We start from the raw sequence: 23,435 nt of genomic DNA on the forward strand, positions 1-23,435 counted from the left end.
ACTTGTGTCGTGGAGGTTTGTTGGACAGGTTGTTTCATCACCCAGGTATTAAGCCTAGTACCCATTAGTTATTTTTCCTGACCCTCTCCCTCCTCCTTTTTTTGAGGGATGACGACAGTTGCTAATCTTGATCTAGTAAATGAATATGGACTGTGTAATTTCCTCCCAAGATCCTGGATCCTTAGCCTAGACATGATTCAAATGAATAATGATATCTTTATGCAGCAGGGAAGGACAATAGGAATGACTGGTGTTAGATGAGACTTGTCAAATTATGCCAAGCAAGCAATTGTCTATGGCTAGTGAACACCCTCAACCCTAGCTCCATTGCTTTTCTTAGCTAACTCCTTCCCCAGTCCCCCATTCAGGAAGATCCTACTTGACTTCTCCATCAGCTTTTTTAGCCTTCAAGCTCAGCTCCAGCCTATCTCCCCTCTAGGCTTGTTATATCATGTGTGCCAGGATGCTTACTTGGATGTATGGCTTCTTGCCAGCATATATTTTGTTCTTGAGGCTTATTCTTAAGTGGGTGGGCCACTGAAGTGTCATTCTCTCTATGTAAGCTGGGGCAGGAACTTGAAAATTGTTTGATGGAGGAGAATAAAGGGAAGTTTGCTGAAAGGATTAAAACAAGCCTGAGGAAAAGTCATGAAGCAGTAAAAGTAATAAATATTAATTACAGTCAAATGGAATTGTATGATGACTATTAGTTGTTTGCAGTTTCAGCTACAAATGCTGGATTCCTTTGATCTTTCTGAGGAAGGTAAGTCCTGGTTCCATCTCTAGGTTGTATTTGCAATTCTCAAGGCTGATTAAAGAACGTTATAGCATCTTCACATTAAGAAAGCTTGCCAAAGCTTTTCCCTGTTCATGGGGATAATGCCTGTATTTTCACAAGGTCTGATACTCAGCTAATGTGGTTCAAAAATATAACTGTCCTGAGTTTGAAACCACAGAAGAAACAGAAAAGATCCCAGAATTTTGCTTAATATTTTGTATTCCACCCAGAAAGAAACCTTATGAAGATAACATCTGTAGCAGTTAATTTGATTTTAGCAATTCTGACTTTCAGAATTTTGATTTAATAAGCCTCATAGGGTCCACCCAAATGCTGTATCTACATGTTTGCTCTTGACTAAAGACATCATAGAGATACCAGGAGAATGTCTGAACCTGAACTCTTGAAGGAAAACTAGACGCAGGTTAACTGGCTATGAAGGCTCTGCGTGATTCTAATTTCTGACTCCAGATTTTCCATCCTAAGAAGTTGGTTAAAATGCACATGCACACATTCACACACATGTCACACACCACCACCACCACCAACAACAACAACAACAAAATTCTCAACTTTTGTAGCTAAAGGAATAGTTTGGTCTTGCTGGACTCTTCTTTTTCCCCAGAACAATGGAGACACCTGTATGCCCCTAATCCATCATCAGCCATCCACACTGCCTCTGTGAAATACCCACTTTGTTTCTCAGGGCCCTTGTGACTGAGGGTTGAGATGTTGCCTTTGCACTTACTCTATTGCTCAAAGTATATCCTCTAACACCATGAGTTTTCAGTCACTTTATTTCTTTGAAAGATGTTGCCCTGTTCTAATATGCCCTGCAGGATGCTAGCTGCTTGCTGGAAGGGGCTGGCTGAGGCTGCTGGGGCTGTATGCTTTTTCAGCATGACTCATTTGCATCTGTCTTTTCTTTGGCAGTTATATTCTTGCTCTAGGCTGTCCCAATGGGAGGAGAATTTATTAAATCAACTTTATTGAAGTATAATTTATACCAATGAAATGCACAGATTTTAAGTATACAATTTGATGAGTCTTGACAAATATATACAGCTGTCTAACTGCTACTCCAACATAGAACATTTTTATCTCTTCAGAAAGTCACATGCACTCCTTCAGAGTTAATCTGTGTCCCACAGCCAACCAATGATCCAATTTCTATCACCATCATAAGTTTTGCTGGTTCTAGAATTTCATATAAATACAATTAAAGGCATACATTCTTTTATGTGTGACTTCTTTTGCTCAACATGTCTACTAGGATGATCTTGGTTGTTGTGTATATTATCAGTTATTTTATTGCTATTACTTTTTATGGTTGAGTGTATTCCATTGTATGAATATATAAACAGTTCTCCTTCGCCTGTTTGTGGACATTGAGAAGTTTCTAGGTTTTGGCTACTATAAATGAAGCTACTATGAATGTTTGTTTTTAAGATTTTTGTTGAAGTATGTTTTTATTTCTCTTTGAAAAATAGAGTAGAATTGTTGGTCATAGCAGAAGTATAGTGTTGGCCTTATAAAAAGGAAAAAACTTCCAAACAGTTTGCAAACTGTATCATTTCACATTCCTACTAGCAACGTATGAGAATTCAAGTTGCCGCACATCCTTAGCAACACTTTATCTTGACAGTCTTTTTAAATTTTAGTTCTCCTAGTGGGTAGGTATTGGTATATCATTGTGTTGTTAATTTGTACTTCCCCGATGACCAGTTATATTGACTGTATTCTCATATGTCTACTGGCCATTCTTCTGTGTGTGGGTGTTTTCAATATTTTACCAGTTTTTAGTTGTGTTGTTTCTTTTCTTATTATTGAATTGTAGGAGTTCTCTATATATTTTGGTTACATGTCCTATTTCATAAATAGGTATTGCAAATACTCTTTCCCAGTCTGTCATTTGACTTTTCATTTTCTTAACAGTTTCCTTCAAAAAACAGACATTTTTAATTTTGATAAAGTGCAGCTTTTCATTTTTTTGTCCTTTATGGTTAGTGTTTTTTGTGTTTTGTCAAAAAAAAATTGTCTTTCCTAACATACTCTTTATTATATGTTGTTTTTCCTTAGAAGTTTTGGTTTTTGCTTTTGCATTTAAATATATGGCCCATTTTAAGTTGCTTTGTGTATAGATATATATTATATATTGTGTATAAACATATATATTGTGGCTTTATGACATAGGAGAAATGATAAAACAACAATACTGGAATTGGGGTATAAGAATACACAGTTCTTAGGTTATACTTGAAGTAGTGTAATGTTGAGCATCCTGTGATGAGTTAAAGACATATATTATACATCTTAGAGCAATCACCTTAGAAAAGGGCTAAAGATAATAAACTAATAGAGGAGGTAAAATGAAATGCTAAAAATACTCAATCCAAAAGTGGGTAGAAAAAAGGACAAAAAAGAAAAACAAGATGGTATATTTAAACCCAACCATGTCAATAATTACATTAAATGTAAATGGCCTAAATATTCCAACTAAAAGGCAGAGATTGTCAGAGTGGATGAAAATATAAAACTCAACTATATGCTGCCTTTAAGAAATTCACTTTAAATATAAAGGCAGATAGGTTAATAATAAGGTCTGTAAAATATATATGTAAATATTAATCATGAGAAAACCGAAGTGGTCATGTTAAATAGACCAATGATGAAAGAGTTAATTCACTAGAAAGACATGCCAATCTTAAATATATATGCACCTAACAACAAGTTTAAAACACATTAAGCAAAGGCGATAGAACTGAATGGAGAAATAGAGCCACAACTATAACTGGAGATTTTAACACTCCTCTTTAAATAATTTATAGAACAAATTGACCGAAAACAAAATTAGGTATGAATATTGGATAAAGGAGATTTGAATAACACTGTCAATCAACTGACTCAATTGACATTTATAAAATACTCAACCCAACAATAGTATAATACACATCCTTTTCAAGTGCACATGGGACATTTGCCAAGATAGACTATATGCTGGGCCATAAAAGAAATCTTAATAAGTCTAAAATAATCAAAATCATGGAGTATGTTCTCTGACCAAAATATAATTAACTTAGAGATTACTAATAAAACATATCTAAACATTTTTCAAATATTTGCAAATTTAGAAATACACCTCTACATAACCCATGAGTCACAGAAGAAATCATAAGAAAAATAGAAACACTTTAAAATGAATGAAAGTAAAAACACATCATATCAAAATTTTTAGTAGAAAGCTAAAGCAATATTTAGAGGGAAATTTATAGTTTTAAATATTTACATTTAAAAAGAAGAAAGATATAAAATCAATTATTTGTTTTCAACTTAAGATACAGAACCAAGAGCCAAAAATAAGTAGAAGAAATGTAATGATAAGGATAAAATACTAACTTATTAGTAAGATTTTAAATAATTTTTAAAGGTTCATCTATGTCTATAAGGCCTTGCACATACTAGGTGCCTTGTAAGTATTTTTTTCCAGTTGGAATAAAGCCTTCTACTTTCTAATATAGGGTTAAAACAGTGTGGCTTAGTAGAATGAACATAAGTTAAAGAGTATGGGCAGTCTAGAGTTTAAATATCAGCTCCCTCATTTAATAATTGCATGACCTTGGACAAGCCATTTAATTTCTCTGAGCTATAACAATAGCTACATTTATTGAGTACTTATTGATGGTATGCACCTTATATGTATTAACTCATTTAATTCTTATAACAACTCCATGAGGTAGGTACATTTAACATCCTCCTTTTAAAGGAAATAGTATCTCATATGGTTTAGAAGCCCCTCTGAGATCACAGAGCTAGCAGATGGTAGCATTGAGATTCAAAGACAGGCTCATCTGACAGTAATCTTATGTACTATTCCTGAAGATCCAGAAAACTTCAGTTTCTTCATTTGTAAAAATAAGGTTATTGATGCAAGATTGACTGAAGGGGAACAACAGGAATGGAGAACAACAATACACAGGGTCTGGCTGTGTACAGGGAGAGAGGGAGTGGAATGTCCCCCAAGTGCTATTCAACAGAGCAGTTCCAAGATGCATTTCAGCACTAGGGCCTGCAGGGAGAGAGGTCAGGAACATATTGTATTGCCCATTGGTGCCATCTACTTTGCTGTGTCTGGCTTGCCAGGCCCAAGCAGGTCATGTAAATGAGTACAGTGGTAGGTAAGGTGGGCCGTGACAATGAGTGATGAATCTTCTAAAGCGTCAGCAGCCCCTTGCCTCAGACTCCCTGAGGCCACACTGAAATGTGCACCCAGCATCACCAGAGCTTCTGAGTTTTCAAGAGATGCCAGTAATCTGGCTTTTAAGTACTCTCAATTCTTAGGTATTGACTCTTAAACTTTTTAAGGAAACACTGTAGGGGCTAAATAAAATACATTTGATGGCTGGCTTTAGCTCATGATGGGCAGTCCATAGTCTTGGGTTTACACTTAGTGTGTTTTAAAGGATATTCCAATAACCAGAACGAAAGTGTTTTTCTTATCTTCTAAGTTCTTTTGAGTAATAATTCCAAAGTACTATATGGACATCAATAGGTTGGGATTAATATTTATGTTGGAATGAAAAAAGAAAACTGTGTGTGTGTGTATGTGTGTGTGTGTGAGAGAGAGAGAATTTCTTAAAAGACTTCAAAGCAGAAAACTATGTGGCTAATCTTATTAGTGGAAAAAAAAAAAGACTTAGCATCTCTGGGAGATACTCCTTTACTCCTTTGGTTGGAGTCACCCTTGTCAGGCGAGAAAGGAAAGGTGATAGCACAGTTTTCCTCTTAGCTACAAGGGGGGAATAGAGAACTTAGCAGATGAATGATGACCAACTGAAGAAGGCTCAGGGTAACATCACAAATCCACAATGCATAATGTTGCTGGGAAGAATATGTGACTAATTGCCACCTGTATTTAAAGCAGTGGGGAGAGAGGTGTTTCCCTTTCTTTGAAAGAAACACCAAAGAAGGAAGGAAAGAAAGAACAGATTACATCTGTGCTTCTCTAAATTTCATGTGCACACAGATCCCCCGGGGAATCTCATTAAAATGCAGATTCTGAATCAGTAGCTGGAGGGTAGGGTAGGGCCTGGGAATCTGTATTTCTTACAAGTTCCCAGGTGATGCTGATGCTGCTGGGTCCAGGGCCACATTCTAAATGACAAGAAACTAGCTGTTCTATTAAAGTGAGTGCAAAAGTAATTGTGATTTTCCCATTGTTGGAATTTGCTGTTTGATATTGGAATACATTCTTAAATCAATGTGGTTAAGTTATACATCATTTTAATGGGCATTTCTCTATTTTTTTTTGCTAATGACTTATTACTTGCTGTTTATTTTAAACTATGGAAATGATGTTAGACAAAAAGCAAATTCAAGCAATTTTCTTATTTGAGTTCAAAATGGGTTGTAAAGCAGCAGAGACAACTTGGAACAACAACAATGCATTTGGCTCAGGAACTGCTAATGAACGTACAGTGCAGTGGTGGTTCAAGAAGTTTTGCCAAGGAGACAAGAGCCTTGAAGATGAGGAGCACAGTAGCTTGCCATTGGAAGTTGACAATGACCAATTGAGAGCAATCATCGAAGCTGATCATCCTTACAACTACACAAGAAGTTGCTGAAGAAGTCAACGTTGACCCTTCTATGGTCATTTGGCATTTGAAACAAATTGCAAAGATGAAAAGGTTCCATAAGTGAGTGCCTCATGAGCTGAGCAAAAATTTAAAAAAAAAAATCATTGTTTTGAAGCGTCGTCTTCTCTTATTCTACACAATAACGAACCGTTTCTCAATTGAATTGTTACGTGTGACAAAAAGTGGATTTTAAATGACAACTGGCAATGACCAGCTCAACGATCGGACTGAGAAAAAGCTCCAAAGCACTTCCCAAAGCCAAACTTGCACCCAAAAAAAAGGTCATGGTCACTATTTGGTGGTCTGTTGCTGGTCTGATCCATACAGCTTTTTGGATCCCAGCGGAACCATTACATCTGAGAAGTATGTTCAGCAAATCCACGAGATGCACTGAAAACTGCAATGCCTGCAGCCAGCATTGGTCAACAGAAAGGGCCCAGTTCTTCTCCAAGGCAATGCCCGAACACACATAGCACAACCAACACTTCAAAAGTTGAACGAATTGGGCTATGAAGTTTCGCCTCATCTGCCATATTCACCTGACCTCTCGCCAACCAAATATCACTTCTTAAAGCATCTCTACAACTTTTTTCTAGGGAAAATGCTTCATGGTCAGCAGGATGCACAAAATGCTTTCCAAGAGTCTGTCAAATCCCAAAGCAAGATTTTTTACACTACAGGAATAAACAAGCTTATTTCTCATTGGCAAAAATGTGTTGATTGTAATGGTTTCTATTTTGATTAATAAAAATGTGTTTGAGCCTAGTTACAATGATTTAAAAATTCATGGTCTGAAACAGCAATTACTTTTGCACCAACCTAATAAATTCTGAACTCTAGTGATAGAAGAACATTTAGAGATCATCAAGGATGTCCAAACTGAACTAAAGAGTTCCTTCCATCCTCTGCTCCCCTTCCTCCCAGGAGCTCCTTGTTTCTGTGATGGCGCAAACCCCAGGCCTCTCTGGTTGAAACCTGGGACCTGTTTAGGCTCTTGCTTGTCTCTCACTCCCAGCCCTAGCCCCTTCACATGGCAGCCCAAGTTTAACCCCTTACCTCATTTGTCAGTTCTACTTCCATAGGGTCACTCTATCCACCCTTATCCTCCCCTGCCTTCCCTCGACTCCTGCCTCTAACCTGGGTTTTGTGTTTCCTAAATGGCCTCTTTGCTGCCTGTATCCTCCCTATACTGTTTATTCTATGCAGAGCTTCCCACATGCCCTTCCTGAGTGCTGCTCACTGCACTCTCTTGCTCAGGAGTAATCAATGCCCACCTTCTCCTCTGTCTCTTCTACCTCTGCCTTGCACAAACCTGCACCCATCTCCTCCCAAACCCCCTTGATGAACCTACTATCTTTGCCCAAGCTTTTTTTTTTTCCTCTAGAGCACACTCTACCCTCTCAGCTGTCAAAATCACACCTCAAGGACTAGCTCAATATTGATGAGAACTGAGAAATACATTTTGTACCCTTTTTTCGTAGTTTTAAGTTTCTGCTGAATATGCCTTAAGCCTGTGGTGTTTTCTTCATGCTGAACCATTACCTAGAAATTTCTCTGTGACCTATTGTTACTGCCAGCCCCAGGAGATGGGCAGGTGCCCATTTTGATAGCTAGAGGCATGCTGCTTAGAAAATTCATCCTTCCCTGGGCCTCTCCTTTCCACTTCCTCCCCAGAGCCTGTTCGTTTGATCACCCAGCAGGAAGTGATAGGTACACCCCCTTTATAATTATAGCCTTTCTCCTTCTATCCCCTAAAATAATAGTTTCCTCATTTCCATCCTTGTCTGAAACACAGAGCAACAGCCCTCCATTCATCTTCCAAAATAGCAATACTTGTTTTGTTTTTTTAAAACTTGTCCTCCCCCATGTCTTCCTCAGCCTACTCTTTCTCTCTCTTCTCCTCCCATCTCCTCTTCTAAATACAGCCAATAGACTCTTCAGTTTTTCTTCCAAATGTCTTCAGTCCCTATTTCTCAGAAGAGGAGCCACTGTGTCCCTCTGGAATGCCTCCTTCTAAAGGAGCTTATGTCACTTCTTATCTCCCCTGTAACTAGTCATTAACCTCAGTGTTCAACCAACTTCTGATAGCAGCTCCTGCTAATAACCTGAACTTCATTAATACCCACTATGTGCCACGTGCTCTGCAAGCATCTCTCATTTTGTTTTCATAACCTCACAAAATAAATATTATTACTATCCCCATTGTACAGAACAGAACATTGAAAACTCACCTGTCTAAGGTGTACAAATAGAAGATGGCAGAGGTACAATTCAAATCCAAATCCAGGTTACTCTGATGTCAAAGCCAGCATTCAATGCCACTCCCCAAACCATGTCACCAGTTAGCCTGCGTATTTATTTTCTTTGGCTGCCATAACAAATTTCCACAAACTGGGCAACTTAAAATAATAGGAACTTATTGTCTCAAAGTCTTGGAGGCCAGAAGTCCAAAGTCAAAGTGTCAGTAGGACTGGTTCTAAGGGAAAATCTGTTCCATGCCCCTCTCCTAGCTTCTGGTGGCTGCTGGCAATCCTTGGTATTCCTTGCCTTGTCCACTCATCACTCAAACTTCTAGCTCTGTCTTCACATCATCCTCTCCTCTGTTTTTTTTTTTTTCTCCAATTCTCTTCTGTATTGAGTATGGTTTCCCCATACTGTTCTCGTGGTGGTGAATAAGTCTCACGAGATCTGATGGTTTCATAAGGGATTTCCCCTTTCACTTGGCTCTCCTTCTCTCCTGCCTGCCACCATGTAAGATGTACCTTTCAGCTTCTGCCATGATTCTGAGGCCTCCCCAGCCACATGGAACTGTGAGTCCATTAAACCTCTTTTTCTTTGTAAATTACCCAGTCTCAGGTATGTGTTTATCAGCAGCATGAAACTGGACTAGTATACTTGTCATTGGATTTAGGACTCATCCTAATCTGAGATAATCTTATCTCCAAATCCTTAACTTAATCACTCTTGAAAGACCCTTCCCCCAAATAAGGCCACAGTCATTGGATCCAGATAGACATGTCCTTTGAAGAAAGGAGCGTTTATCTCACTACACCATGTAAAGAAAAATCAGCATGAGAAATCAACTCTGATGGAGATGTACAAGGAGATTAATGTTTTCATGCCTGTTAACACAGCATCCATTCTATAGCCTGTGGATCAAGGAGTTATTTTTATTTTCAAGTCCTATTATTTAAGAAAGACATTTTGTAAGGCTGTAGCTTTCAGTGGATAGTGATTATTCTGTTAGATCCAGGCAAAGTAAATTGAAAGCCTCTGGAAATGATTCACCATTGTAGGTGCCATTAAGAAGATTCATGATTCATGCAAGGAGGTAAAAATATCAACATGAACAGGAGTTTGGGAAAAGTTGATTCCAACACTCATGGATGACTTTGAGGGGCCCAAGCCTTCAGTGGAGGAAGTCACTGCAGATATGGTAGAAATAGCAAGAGAACCGGAATTAGAAGTGGGGCCTGAAGATGTGACTGAATTGTTGCAATCTCACGAGAAAACTTTAATGGGGTATGGAGTTGCTTCTTATGGAGGAGCAAAGAACATGGTTTATTGAAATGCAGTCTACTCCTAGTGAAGAGGCTATGGACTGTTGAAATAACAACAAAGGATTTAGAGTAATACATCTACTTAGTTAATAAAGCAGTGGCACGGTTTGAGAGGACTGACTCCAATTTCTAATAGAATTTCTAATACTATAGGTAAAATGCTATCAAACAGCATTGCATCTGCAGAGAAATCTTTCATGAAAAGAGGAATCAATTGATATAGCAAACTTCACTGTTGTATTATTTTAAGAAATTGACAGGGCCACCCAAACCTTCAGCAACCAGAACCCTCATCAGTCAGCAGCCATCAACATTAAGGCAAGATCATCCACCTGCAAAAAGATTATGACTCACTGAAGGCTCAGATGATTGTTAGCATCTTTTAACAATAAAATATTTTTAAATTAAGGCATGCAGATTGTTTTCTTCAGATACAATACTATTGCACACTTAATAGACTATAGTGTAAACGTAACTTTAATATGCACTAGGAAACCAAAAAAAATGTGTGACTTTCTTTATTGCAATATTTGCTGTATTGCAGCTGTCTGGAACTGGATCTGCAATCATTCCAAGGTGTATCTGTATTTTTCCATGCCACTGTTACTGCAGCTCCAATGACTAATTTCCAAATCCCTGCATGGAAGTCACAGCCAGAGTGTACCCTGGCTGTCTGTGCTGTTGACAGAATGCTCTCTGCCACATGCCATGGCAGCCAGAGGAGGGTTGTGGCCCACTGGGGATGTTGTAGGAAATATATCCCTCCCCAGCTGCGTGCTGCTGCTGGATTGATTCTTCCAGTTTAACTATAGCTGGAGTCAGTGCCTTATAGATTGCTATGAAGTCAGGCCCTACAGAAACGTCTAAGTTCGGTGGCAGAACAGAGAGGGACTCAGCGGCCTGGGCTGCATAGTGAAGCTGTTCCCTTAAAGGTGTCATGGCTGTGTTCTGTGGGAAGGAAAATTGCAAGTGGATATTGTTATAGGGTTATCTCTAGACCCTTCGTCACCTCCTGAGGAGGGCAGCTCTACTCCTGAAGGCTACAGGAGTCTGAGTTTGCAGGAGCCAAACTGTACTCCCAAGAAGGAGAGAAAGATTTGGGACTGACAATCCATTGGTAAGACCCTACCAGGGTTAGAACACTGAATACTCCTGTACCAGTGGGATGCCAGTAAACAGTCCCCAGAACTCACCGCCTGCATATCATTCAGCCACTAGTGGCTGGACCTCTGACCCAGTAGGGGTCCTTGGGGACCCTGATCATGTGTTCTGGAGGGCACCTGTTAGACTAGTTGGTGCTCTGTAGTTGCTTCCTAAATATTTTAATATCACCCTCGAGGAACAAGAGAAACAGGAACCAATGAAACTTGAGGTTCCCTGGGCAGGAGGCAAGAAGGAGAATTACCACGGGGTTCCAGCATAGAGCTGTGGGGAGGAACAACATGTTGATGGCGGTTTCTGAGCTTGCGTGCCATTTGATACAGCTTCTGTTAAACCCATCCTGCTTGAACAAGATTCTTGCTGGGAGCTGTGAGAGGGCTGAGCCCTTGGCCAAGGCAAAGTCAACCTGCAGGAGCAAGGAGAACAGTGTGCATTTGTGATAGATGTCTGTGTGCTGAGGTGCCAGGATGTCACTGGGCTCACAGCCCCACAGCCCTGCTTGTCCTGGGAAGGGATGTGTTCCTGCTGGTGAGTCCAGGGGTCAGTGGGTACAGCCGGACACACCAGGGCAGAGAGTGGCAAAATACAACTTGTGCTTATCTCCTTTGCTGTGTGGCTCATCGGGAAGAGGGCAGGTGTCGTATTAGCCATGCTTTCTTATAAAGAGGCAAATTCTCTGACGGTCGCAGGGACTGAAGCAGTAGCTATTTGGAATGCTCTCTCCACTGAACAGCCTACCCTTTCCATAAGGAGGACTTCCTGTTTCTGCCTGTCTCTGGTTTCCACAGTCAACAATGTTTTGCCCAGGATTGGATTTTTCTTTGCTTCTGCTTTGAGCACAAGCTCAGAGACTATAAAGGTGAATTAGACACTGCCTGTGGCTATCCCAGCCTAGTTGTGGGCATCAGCAGGTTCTTCAGGGACAACCCCTATGTGGCTGAGGGCATTCTGTTCCTCATGCTCAGTTTCTCTTCCATACGAGGGGTTTATCTCATCTCTGTTTTGTACCTGTCTATACACTGGGCTGGACTTCCTTCCCCAACTCACAGAAGAGCCCCTCTCCCAAATGTGACTTAGAATGTGTTCCCTGTTTAGTGGTCAAGCTCTCCTTGAAGTGTAATAAATTCTCCCTTTCCATCCCAAGTTTTCTGTCTACATTAGATGTTGAACCCCTCATAGTTACATTTCCAGAGTTCCTTGGACCTCCATTTTCTAATCTGTAAAACAGAAGGAATGAGGCTAGATGAATTTCAGATATTCTAGACATTTTATCACATTTTACACTTTGTTAATAAGTGCTAGTCCACAAAGCACATTTATGCAAGTTTTAATTAAAAGCATCTTCCTCCAAGACAGAGACTATTCCAGGACCATGGCTTGGTGAGCAGAGCAATGGCTAGATTCAGCCTCTCCTTACGCTTTTGGCCAGGTACCCTTGTGTAGTGAATAACCTGCACAACCATACTGTATGAGTCTGTTCTCAAGCTGCTAATAAAGACATACCCGAGACTGGATGACTTATAAAGGAAAGAGGTTTAATTTATTCACAGTTCAGCATGCCTGGGGAGGCCTCAGGAAACTTACAATCATGGCAGAAGGGGAAGCAAATACGTCCTTCTTCACATGGTGGCAGCAAGGATAAGCGCAGAGCAAAGGGGGATATGCCCCTTATAAAACCATCAGATCTCATGAGAACTCACTCACTATCATGAGAACAGCATGAAAGTAACCACCCCGATGATTAAATTACCTCCCAACGGGTCCCTCCCACAACACGTGGGGATTATAGGAACTACAATTCAAGATGGGCTTTGGATGGGGACACAGCCAAACCATGTCACATATACATCAGCCTTGTTTTCCAAGTATCAGGAGGATATACAATTGCTAAAAACAAGTAGACAATAGTCATAGTCTATATTCAGAACAGTGGTTCTCAAGCAGGGGTGATTTTGGCCCCTTTCTCCAGGGGACATTTGGCAAACTCTGAAGACATTTTTGGTTGAGAAAATGAAGGGATGGGGTGGCAGGGGTGCTAATGGCACCTAGTGGTTAGAGCCGCTGCTAAACATTCTGTAATGCACAGCACAGCCCCACCTAAAAATAAATAATTTTCCAACCCTAAATATCAACAGTGCCGAGGTTTAAAAACCCTGGATGAAAGTACTAGCCATGATAATAATTAGACATTGCACAAACAAAAATAAAAACTTAAGCGGGAAGTAGGAGGAAAAGTTTAAATTCGGAGCAACTTTAACAGATATTTCTGAATAATGGTTTTGAATCTGTCTCTTTTTATGCCTGTTTGAACTACATGTCTGCTTACTGCAGTAGCTCCACCTTTGGCAAGAATACTGAATTCTCATTTGAGAAATAAAGAAAAAGCCTGAAGCTTATAGCCCCTAAGGGTGGTTCCTTCAGTACTTTGTTGTACCTTTCCAAGCTTATAGAAACCCCTTGCTAAATTGCAGGTTCGAATTACAAAGAAAAATTTAAATTTTCATGCAGTGAACTTAACTATAAATTAATCTACAACTGAGTCTACAATTTGAATGTTTATTCTACACAAAAGTACTAGGTAAAATGTTATTTAAAATCTTTATTATGTCTTTAGCTTTAAACAGTGATGCAAAAGTTATTGACCTTCAGAAGATACTAAAGAGGCAGTATGTGGTATTTTATTATTGAAATTACATATTTACATAAACAGAAATATATATTAAATAGAAATTCCAATTGTAAAATGGAAAGCAGGTTAACTGCACACTAGTTTTGCTGCTGTTGGTCTTAACTTGAAAGAAAATTAAGAATCAGTTTTCGTTTAGGATGTGGAAACCTACATATAACAATGAGAAAAAGGCAGAAAAATCTATAGCAATTGTTAAGTTTTCTTGAGCCCATCAGAGGGCTGAAATCCAGGCAATCAAACAAACCAAATTCCTAAGAGGGACAGGCTCTATTAAGGGCTGAGGAGACATAAAAACATTCACCTTACACAGAACATGGGAGAGAGAGGTGGCTGCCATACAGATGTGTAAAAAGAAATCAGTTAAAAGATGTTAAAACTATTAAAGGCTATAAAAGAAAATACAATTTCAGGGCTCTCTAAATTTATTATGCCAAGGGGGGATGTTAAGCTCTGGAGACTGAGTCACATAGCATGTTTGCTATTCTTCTTCTTAGATTATGGACTATTTCTCTTCCTCATTGTTCTTGTTCTGTAAATGACTAGGAGAAACCAGAGGACAGACCCCTCACCTCCTAATCATCTATCTTTGTTAAAGATTCACTGCCTGCTTTTTTTGTCCTTACCCAACTCAGACCAGATGGGGCAAAAGACTCCAGGACTGTTAGATCTTTGGTGTGGAATGTCAAATATACCTTTTCTTAAAGAAAAAAATCACCTTGACTGATTAGATCATAACTATGCATTAAGCCTTACATAGAATGATGTTGAAATTCTGTTAAGCTTTCCTAAACTTTGTTTATGTAAATGATCCCAAACTTCTACATTTTGGAACACTGACTTCCATTCTTTGGAATCTCTGCTTTGTAGCTGGCTGTCCTTAAACTTTGTGCTTGTGTAAACTCTCTTTAAACTAGATTATGACCCTTTTGATTATTTTAGGTTGACAAAGCCACATGTGGGCTAGAATGTCAGTTTGGAATAACTGGGGGCCCAGACACAAAGGAAGTCAGAGACACATGCTCTTCTCCACATGGCTCCACCAGTTACTGAGAGAAAGATGTAGGGCAGGAGCCTGGAGCAAGCCCCCCTTGGTGGGGTAGGTGTTGGGGAGCTCTCTGTAGTTGTAGGGAGAATAAACACGATCCTCTCCCCAACCCTTCCCTCCTAGGAGAGAAGCCTTGAACTGTCGGGGGAGAGGCAGCAGACTGTCTTTCCCCAAAGGCACAGGCAAAAGACTGGTGTGCTAGGGAGGGTCAAAGAAAAATCTCCAACCCCCAGTGAAAGGGCAGGAAGCTGTGCTGGGCCCAGGATATCTTACTGCCAGGGAGGGGCAGGAAACTCTGGCCCAAGTCCAAGCTCAGATCCAAAGCAGTGTTTGGCTGCCATGGGGAGGAGGGATGAGAATGCTGAGAAAGCCTCACCCCCAGGCCCAGGCACATGGTGCCTGCCTAAGACTAAGGCTAAACCAAAAGAACTGAGAACCACCTCTCTTCCCTTGCCCCTGTATCCCAAAATAGGCCCAGCACTGAATAATAGGCCAGAGTCATCTGCCACTGGGATAGGGGAGCTAAAAGCGTGGACAGAGGATTCTCTGTGGCATGTGTAAGCCAGGCTGGCTGTGTTGGGGCTCAGAGAATGATACCCTAAAGTACGATTCTTTGGCATGCTGAGTACTTTTTCATTAAAGGGAATTGGAAGGTCTTAGAATCTGCCTCAGAACCAAAGACCTTCTAACCTTCTCCTGTTTCTTCCCTCCACCCTGAAACCCCAAGCACAGTAAGGGACATTCTCTAGAAGTTTCCTCATCTGAATGAGAAAAAATTATTCCAAAAGAAATGCAATTGTCTTAAAACTCCCCCCCTAGAAATCTCATCAAATCACCAGGAAAGATGAACTACTAGAGAAGAGAAAAGACTAAAAGTCATCACCACATCCAGGCAGATTTTTCATCTATTCTTCTGAGGGCAGCTCTGAGATATTACCTGGAAGATGTTATCTGCATAATAAGACAACCTTTGTTCACAGGGAAGTCCCACCCCTCAATTTCCCAATACGTGTTGCCACCTTCCCCACAGCTCAGAGGAACTTTGTCCCAGGCCATTGTCTATTCTTTGCGCTCGTTGGTTTTCCCTAAAAATAATTCACTACCCCTCAAAATTGCCTACATTCCCCCATCTTCCTCCCCCTATGAAGATGACAGTATTTAAGCTTCAGCCATCTGGCCTGTCCTTGAATCTCATATTTTGTATGGCTCCCATGCATACTTGCATATTAATGAATTTGTATGCCTTGTCTCCTGTTAATCTGTCTATTGATAGTTCATTTCAACATTCTTGACCCTTCAGAGAGGGAGGAAAAATTCTCTTCCCCTCTACAACAGAAAGCTGAGGGGCAAGCAGGAAACCTGGGAAAGAGTCTAGCACCTTGGCCCTCACACTAAGCACAAGATAACACGATTCCCACCTCTAGAGGAATTTGAAGCCTGTGGTCTATTGAAGGTAACAGTGGCAACAATAAAACCCATACCCACCTCAACTACTGACTAGATAACCTCAAACTCTGACACTAATGCTCTCACAGAACAAGATATTGGGATGATTTATAGAATAAATAATATTTACCTTCATCTCTGCTGTCCTATACAGTCACAAATTATGAGATATACAAAAAAGCAAGGGAAAAAATTGTAAAGAGACAAAGGCGATCAACAGAAACAGACTCAGGGATGACTCAGATGTTGAGACTTTGAGATAGAGACCATAAGAATTATGATTAATAAGTTAAAAGAGTAATAGAAAAGGTAGATATCATGCATGAACAGATGGAGAATTTCAGCAGAGGGATGAAAAATGATAGAGTTAAATGGAAGTGCTAGAAAAAAACACATGATATCAAAAATGAAGAGAGTCAATAAGTTTTTTTAATCCATGGGGACATCTGCATATAGATTCTTTAAGGGAATTGGAGCTTCACTGAAATAGTCTTATGACATAAGGATAATTATATATATATTAGAGTCTTAGAGTTCAGCTGACAACAAATAATTTTGTATCTCCAAAGGATTTGAGATATTAAAAGTAATTATAGTTCTAAATAAGCCTTGTAATTAGAACTAAGATTCTATTGTAGCAATGGGAGGGAACTTTCATAACCTGAATGGACACTAATGAGAGTGGAGATCTCTGAGGCATAACACTCAGGACAGTCAGAATCCGATAGAATCACAAATGGAATTGAATTGGCTCCATAATTTTATAGGAAGAAAGAACCAACTTTTAATATATGTGTAAACCAAAAATAAAATTCTAAGCCCTTCAACCAACTGATGGACCCTCTCCTTGGCCCAGGGCATTCTAAAGTTAACCTGAAAAGCTAATTCAGGCCATGATGAGAAGTGGGGGTTGAACATTCTTCATTATACCTTCCTCCCTTTGGAATTCAGGCACAGTTGACCAGTATTAACATTAAAATAGAGATCTTAAGACTAGCAAAACGACTTTTTTTGTAGCAATAAGATACCAAATTCCAGCCTGACTCTAGTATAGCATTACATCACAGATAGCAGGCCCTGAAAATAAATCAAACTATTTTACCCCAAATTATATTCTTTGACATATTTTGAAATGGCCTTGCAAAGATGACTCTTGTGGGGGAAAATCTACATTCTGTAGAGAATCCCCATTTCTTTCCAGGTCATTTCCCTGATCCAAGAGGGAATTAACTAAGACTCTGGCCCCTTTTTAGGTCTGAAAAGAGCTCTGAAGCCTACTACCTGAAGGCTCCATCTATATGATAAAACCTTAGTCTCTGAAACCCCTAATTTTTTTTTTTTTTTTTTTTTTGACAAACTCTGGTTCTACTCTCCAGGCTGGAATGCAGTGGCACAATCTCTGCTCACTGCAACCTCCACCTCCTGGGCTCAAGCCATCCTCCCTACTCAGCCTCCTAAGTAGCTGGAACTACAGGTGCACACCACCATGCCCAGCTAATTTTTGAATTTTTTGTAAAGGTGGGTTTTGCTATGTTGTCTAGGCTGGTCTTGAACTACTGAGCTCGAGCGATCCACCTGCTTCAGCCATCCAACGTGCTGGGATTACAGGCATGAGCCACCATACCTGGCCCAAAACCCCTTATCTTAACCCAGACACTCCTTTATATTGATTATAGGTCTTTATATAATAATTCTTTCAAACAACTGCCAATCAGAAAATCTGTGACTCCACCTATGACCCGGAAGCCCCCACTTCCAGTTGTTCTGCCTTTCTGGAACAAACCAATGTACATCTTCTGGGTATTGATTGATGTCTTTTGTCTCCCTAAAATATATAAAACTGAGCTGTAGCTTAATCACCTTGGGCATATGTTTTCAGGATATCCTGGGACTGTGTCACAGGCCATTGGTCACTCATATTTGGCTTAGAATAAATATCTTAAAATATTTTACAGGCTTTGACTATTTTTGTCAACATACGCACACCCAACTTAAAAATAAGCAATTATTTCTACAAAATTGTAGAAATATTCATTCATTTTTGTGAAAAACAAATGATTTCAAATATAGACAGAGGTGATCATTGATAGGTTTGGGACACCTCCAACTTATACATTCAAAAAAGAAAAAGAGAGATAGAAAAGTGTAACCTGTGGTCCCAGTCATTAAGCCAGTTGTCCAGAAAAGGGTATAAAATTTCCTTTGATTTTGCTTTAACTTTTTATTAACCTATAATTTACATACATACACATAGGATATGTATCTGTAACCTATACTTTACATACACATATCCTAAGTGTGCAGCTTACATAACTTTCAAACTGAAAACACTTTTGCAACAAGTTCCAAAATCAAGGAATATAACACCAGCTTCTTTGAATTCTCCCTCATATTCCCTTGAAGTCTCTATCTTCTTCCAAAGCTAGCCATTATCCCTATATTAATTAGCATAGATTACTTTTGCCGTTTTGCTCATATGAAAATGGAATCATACATTGGTACTATTTTCTGTCTGGCTTTTTTTCCTCAGCATGTTTGTGGGGTTCATTCATATTGCTGTGTGTGGTTATAGTTTATTTGTGCTCATTATTGGTATAGTACTGTATTTTCTTGTTGACAGGCATTTGGGTTGTTTCCAGCTTAGGGTTATCATGAATAAACTATGAATAGCCTTTTACCAGGCATTGTGTAGGCAAATTTTTTTTTCCCCTTAGATTAATACCTATGGGTTGAATTGCTGAGTCATAAGGTATATGGATGCTGCCAAAGTGTTTATAAAAGTGGTCATAACAATTTACATCCCACTAGCAGTGTGTGAGAGTTTGCTGCTCCACTAGGGATATGAAATTTTAAGCAGCAGCAAAAACCACAAGCAAATGTAAAATTCGTATTGTTGCACACAGACTGTGAGAACCATAACTGTTCAGAAAGAATAAGAATTGGTGAGAGCAGGAGTGTGGGAGAAGTTCTTCCTGGACAGAGGATGGGATGGATGGGCTGAGGGGCACCTGTGAGACACCCTTTGGTTCAAGGCCAGGTTCCATAACTGACCAGCTGCATGACCTTGGGAAAGTTACTGGATCAATCCGAGCCTCCGTTTTATCATCCGCAAAAAGGGGAAAATAAGAAACCTGCTCTTAGGCTGAAATGACAATTGTGCATGGAGGACACTGAGTATAGTGGCTAACACATAGAAACTTGCTATTTTATTACTATTATAAATAACAAAGTGGACAAGAATTGGGCTTTGCAGGATGGCTGGGACTGGCTCAGTGGATGGGCAGAAGAGCTCTTTGGAAAGGGGAGAACAGGAAAGAACGAAGCAGAGGATTAGCTTGGTATCTTCACAAGCTTAACAGAGGCAGGCCAAACACACAGGGACAATCCCTTCTCCTGCCTGTTTGTGTTTGTGTTTAGCACAGGGTGGCTTACTCCTGGAAGCCTCTGTGAAGTCTCCCACCTCCCAGCATCCATTCATAGGGGACTCATTTGAGTTAGCACCCAGAGGGTACTTCTCTGGTTGTACTTAACTATCTTAACTGAAACTGCTGGCTTATTGGCCTCTCTTTGTCCAGGAAAGGGTTGACCTCCATGAGGACAAGGCTTGGTGACTCACTGAAAACCATGGGCCTCCGTCCCTGGAAGAGGAATATTGTTTCATTCCAACAAAGGATTATTAAAACACTTACCATATGCCAGTCATTATGCTAAGTGACCTACAGTGTCGATGAGGAGACCTGTTGCAGTGTTTAGAGGTCAGCAAGAAGAAATTCAGTGTTTGTATCCAATAACTGACCGAGCACAGGAACTTGTTTCTCCCATGAAGTCATGAAAACTTGCATTAAAAGAACATAAAGAACTGAACCAAATCAAGAAGAAAAGTTTCAATGACATGAGTGATGAATGATAACAAAGCGCAATTTATACCTTTTTGCAGCCATGATCCAGGTTAAAGTCCACCCAAAATAATAATTTCTAAGTAAAAATTAAGGTAATAAGCATGGGTCAGATTAGATACTCTGGCTTTGTAATACAATTTATACTTCTGTTGTATGTTCTTCTTTAGCCACCTTAGGGTAGAACAAATGGAATCATCTCCCCACCCACAGTATTCATTTGACTCCACTTTTCATTCCTGGACTGTACTTCGGAACAGTTGCACTGCCTGAGGGTGAGGAGGAAGGTGTGATTTGAAGGGAAGGAATGGATTTAGAAATGATGCACTCCCACACATTTGAAAATAAAATATTCGGTAACATCACAAAACACCTGATATTTAACTTTCCCAGGGAACACCCTCAAGGAATCCAGAAAACTCCTGTAGATCTTTAGGTCACCTTGGGAATCAGGACATTTTTCTTAGAAGCTTAAAACAACCTTGGAATAGTCAGAAAGCACCAAAGAATTTCAAAGAAGGAGGAGAAAAGGGGTTATTGAAGTCAGAGAAGGAGGCGAGACTAGTACAGGCAGAAATGAGCAACTGCAGGACAGGGCCGGAGGCCAGCCAGATGCCAGCAACTCAGAGGCACCTGCCTTGGCCTGCATTTCTTAGGAGGCCAACCTGGAGGAAGATGTCTTTGTTGTGTAAAAAGTAGCCTTTTCTCTGCCAGGCACGGTGGCTCACGCCTGTAATCCCAGCACTCTGGGAGGCCGAGGCGGGCGGATCACCTGAGGTCAGGAGTTCAAGACCAGCCTGATCAACATGGTGAAACCCTGTCTCTACTAAAAATACAAAAAATTAGCCAGACGTGGTGGCGTGCGCCTGTAATCCCAGCTACTCTGGAGGCTGAGGCAGGAGAATTGCTTGAACCCGGGAGACAAAGGTTGCAGTGAGCCAAGATCACACCATTGCACTCCAGCCTGGGAGACAGAGGAGTTTTTTTGAAACTCCGTCACACACACGTACACACGAAAATATAAAAAGTAGCCTTTTCTTTTACTAAAGAACTGACCTCTTGATTTATAAAGCATGACACCAAAATATTCCTTAGAATTGAATGTCTTCCCACAGAATATTTTGCCAGGTATTCTAGTTGGTAATTATGACGGCCTTGACAGTGCTCCTCTCAGATCCCCAATTTCTAGGAGCATAGCTGGTGCCGGTCTCAGCTGAGGCCCATCCCTCCATTAGCATCACGCTCCACACGCTGCTCACTGCCAATGACTGGGCTTGGTAGGAATTCTAAGGAAAGTTCATTCGGGAGAAACAAGAATCCTCCGAAAACAGACTTGGGCTCGAGGGCGCCCCCTGGGCTTTGCCAATGTCTTAGAAGGACTCTGCCCTCTAAGGCTCTCCCCAGCCTGCCTCGGTCCTTCCCTGCATCCTCCACTCAAACCAGACCTGCATCTGATCCCTCAGCTCTGCTAGACTCCTCCGGCTTCCCGCCTCCGCCTCCCATTTCCCCCGCAATAAATCTCTTCCACATCCATCCTATGTTGATACCTGCTCCTCGGAGGACCTGAATTAACACAACAATGAACTTTCTGAAAGTATCTTTGTTTGCATTTGATTGTGCATGAGGTTCTTTATGAGGGAGGCTGGTGATGTGAGATGGAAAAAGCTTCATTAGGAGCTGGGGCTTGGCTCTGGCTCCTCCCAGCTACGTGGTCTTGACATTTAGCCTTGCTCCCTAGTTAGACCTCAGCTTCTTTATCAGAAAAATGGGGATAATAAATTACCTGCATCATAAAGTTATTGTGGAGATTAAGAAGATAGTGAATTCAAGATCTCAGTGCACATAACAATAGCTGCTATTTACTGAGTGCTTTCCATGTGCTTTTGATATAACTCACTTAATCCTAGCAATTTCCATATGAGATATGTACTTCACTCGCAAGAAAACCAAGGCATAGAGTGGCTAAGAGGTAGAGCTAGAATTTGAACCCTTCAGAGCCCAGAGCTTCAGAGCTCAGGCTCTTTAACTACCACCCTATGATTTTCCCCAAATAGCACATGCTCGGGAAATGACTGTTGGGATTCCATCAATAAATCCAATATGTTTTTTTCCACTTTCTACCCCTGTGACTGTGGCAAGGGTCTTCAACTGAAGACAATCTTGTCATTTTGTGAAGGTGAAGTGAGGAAAGGGATGTAAAACAGCTGTGGTTGGTGCTTAGTAGCTGTTCACCTGAATTTCAGCTAGGATTAAAATTACAATTATTATTAGCTTTGAAATGCTGATTCCTCTTTCTTTGTATACTTAATGGGTACAGTAAAGGAGCAATGGGTTGTTTGTTCCCAGCTTTCAGATGTGATGTCTAAATGAGAATTGAAATAAACCATGAAGGAACTGAGTTGCAAACACTTCTCTGATGACTACAGCAGGTGAATAATCAGCTCTGATATTTGATCACACCCTTTACAAGCCTGAACCCCTTTGTAGGTCCTTTGCCATATCCTCTACTTGTTTCTCTGTAGCTCAACCTACTGCCTGCCCAGGGCCATCAATAATAAATGTCCACAGACAGCTGAAGGACATTAAAGACAGATGGTGATGGATCAGAGCACTCATCAGCCACTGGGTGTAGACTGTATAAAAAGCTGAGCCCAGAGGCCACCATGATCAACCTGCAACCTGGCAAGAAATGGACTCAACTCCACAGACAGCAGTTGTCAGGGAGCCCAGGTGAGTGCACGGCTGCTTCATCTTTATGTACTTGTTATAGCACAAATGAGTCTATTTCCTTCCTTCCTGAAATAGCAAGGAGAAAATAGGAAATGCATGGTGCATAGTTTCTTTTTTTTTTCTCTTCTCTCCGTCTGTGTCATACTTTATTAACAAGGTCAAACCAAAATCATACAGATGTTCTGGGACATCTCAGGTGAAACTGTTAACAGGCTAACTTTGTTCTTGCCATTGTCATCCTCCACTCCCCTTGTCATTTCCTGCCCCCCAATCCATACCTGTCAATACCCTCTTTCTGAAGAATGTGTCTCAATTCTTACTTCCCTGCTTTGCTTACATCAATAGTCACCTGGGTTTTATGACTCACCCTTTCAGGGTTCCATTTGATTAATACTTAATATGTTAATCTTACTCATACAATTTCATTGTGCAAACATATGAACACCTGTAGTGCTAGACATATTGAAGGACACAAAGAAATAAAATGTGGTCCTTGC

General features: G+C 40.4%; 1 long non-coding RNA gene across 2 annotated transcripts in view; it reads left to right on the plus strand.

The window, feature by feature from the left end:
• LINC02930 (long intergenic non-protein coding RNA 2930) overlaps window positions 1–23,435 on the plus strand; it is a 216,730-nt gene that overhangs the window by 4,630 nt on the left and 188,665 nt on the right. The window contains exons 1-2 of one of the 2 annotated variants that reach the window (XR_007062314.1): window positions 21,736–22,637; window positions 22,731–22,938. This is a non-coding gene — a long non-coding RNA (long intergenic non-protein coding RNA 2930). Of the gene's footprint in view, window positions 1–21,735; window positions 22,638–22,730; window positions 22,939–23,435 lie in introns of those variants that run through there. The other variant, XR_002957103.2, reaches the window with a different exon arrangement.

Source organism: Homo sapiens, chromosome 10, assembly GCF_000001405.40.
Source record: "Homo sapiens chromosome 10, GRCh38.p14 Primary Assembly".
In the NCBI taxonomy this organism is placed as follows: Eukaryota; Metazoa; Chordata; class Mammalia; order Primates; family Hominidae; genus Homo; species Homo sapiens.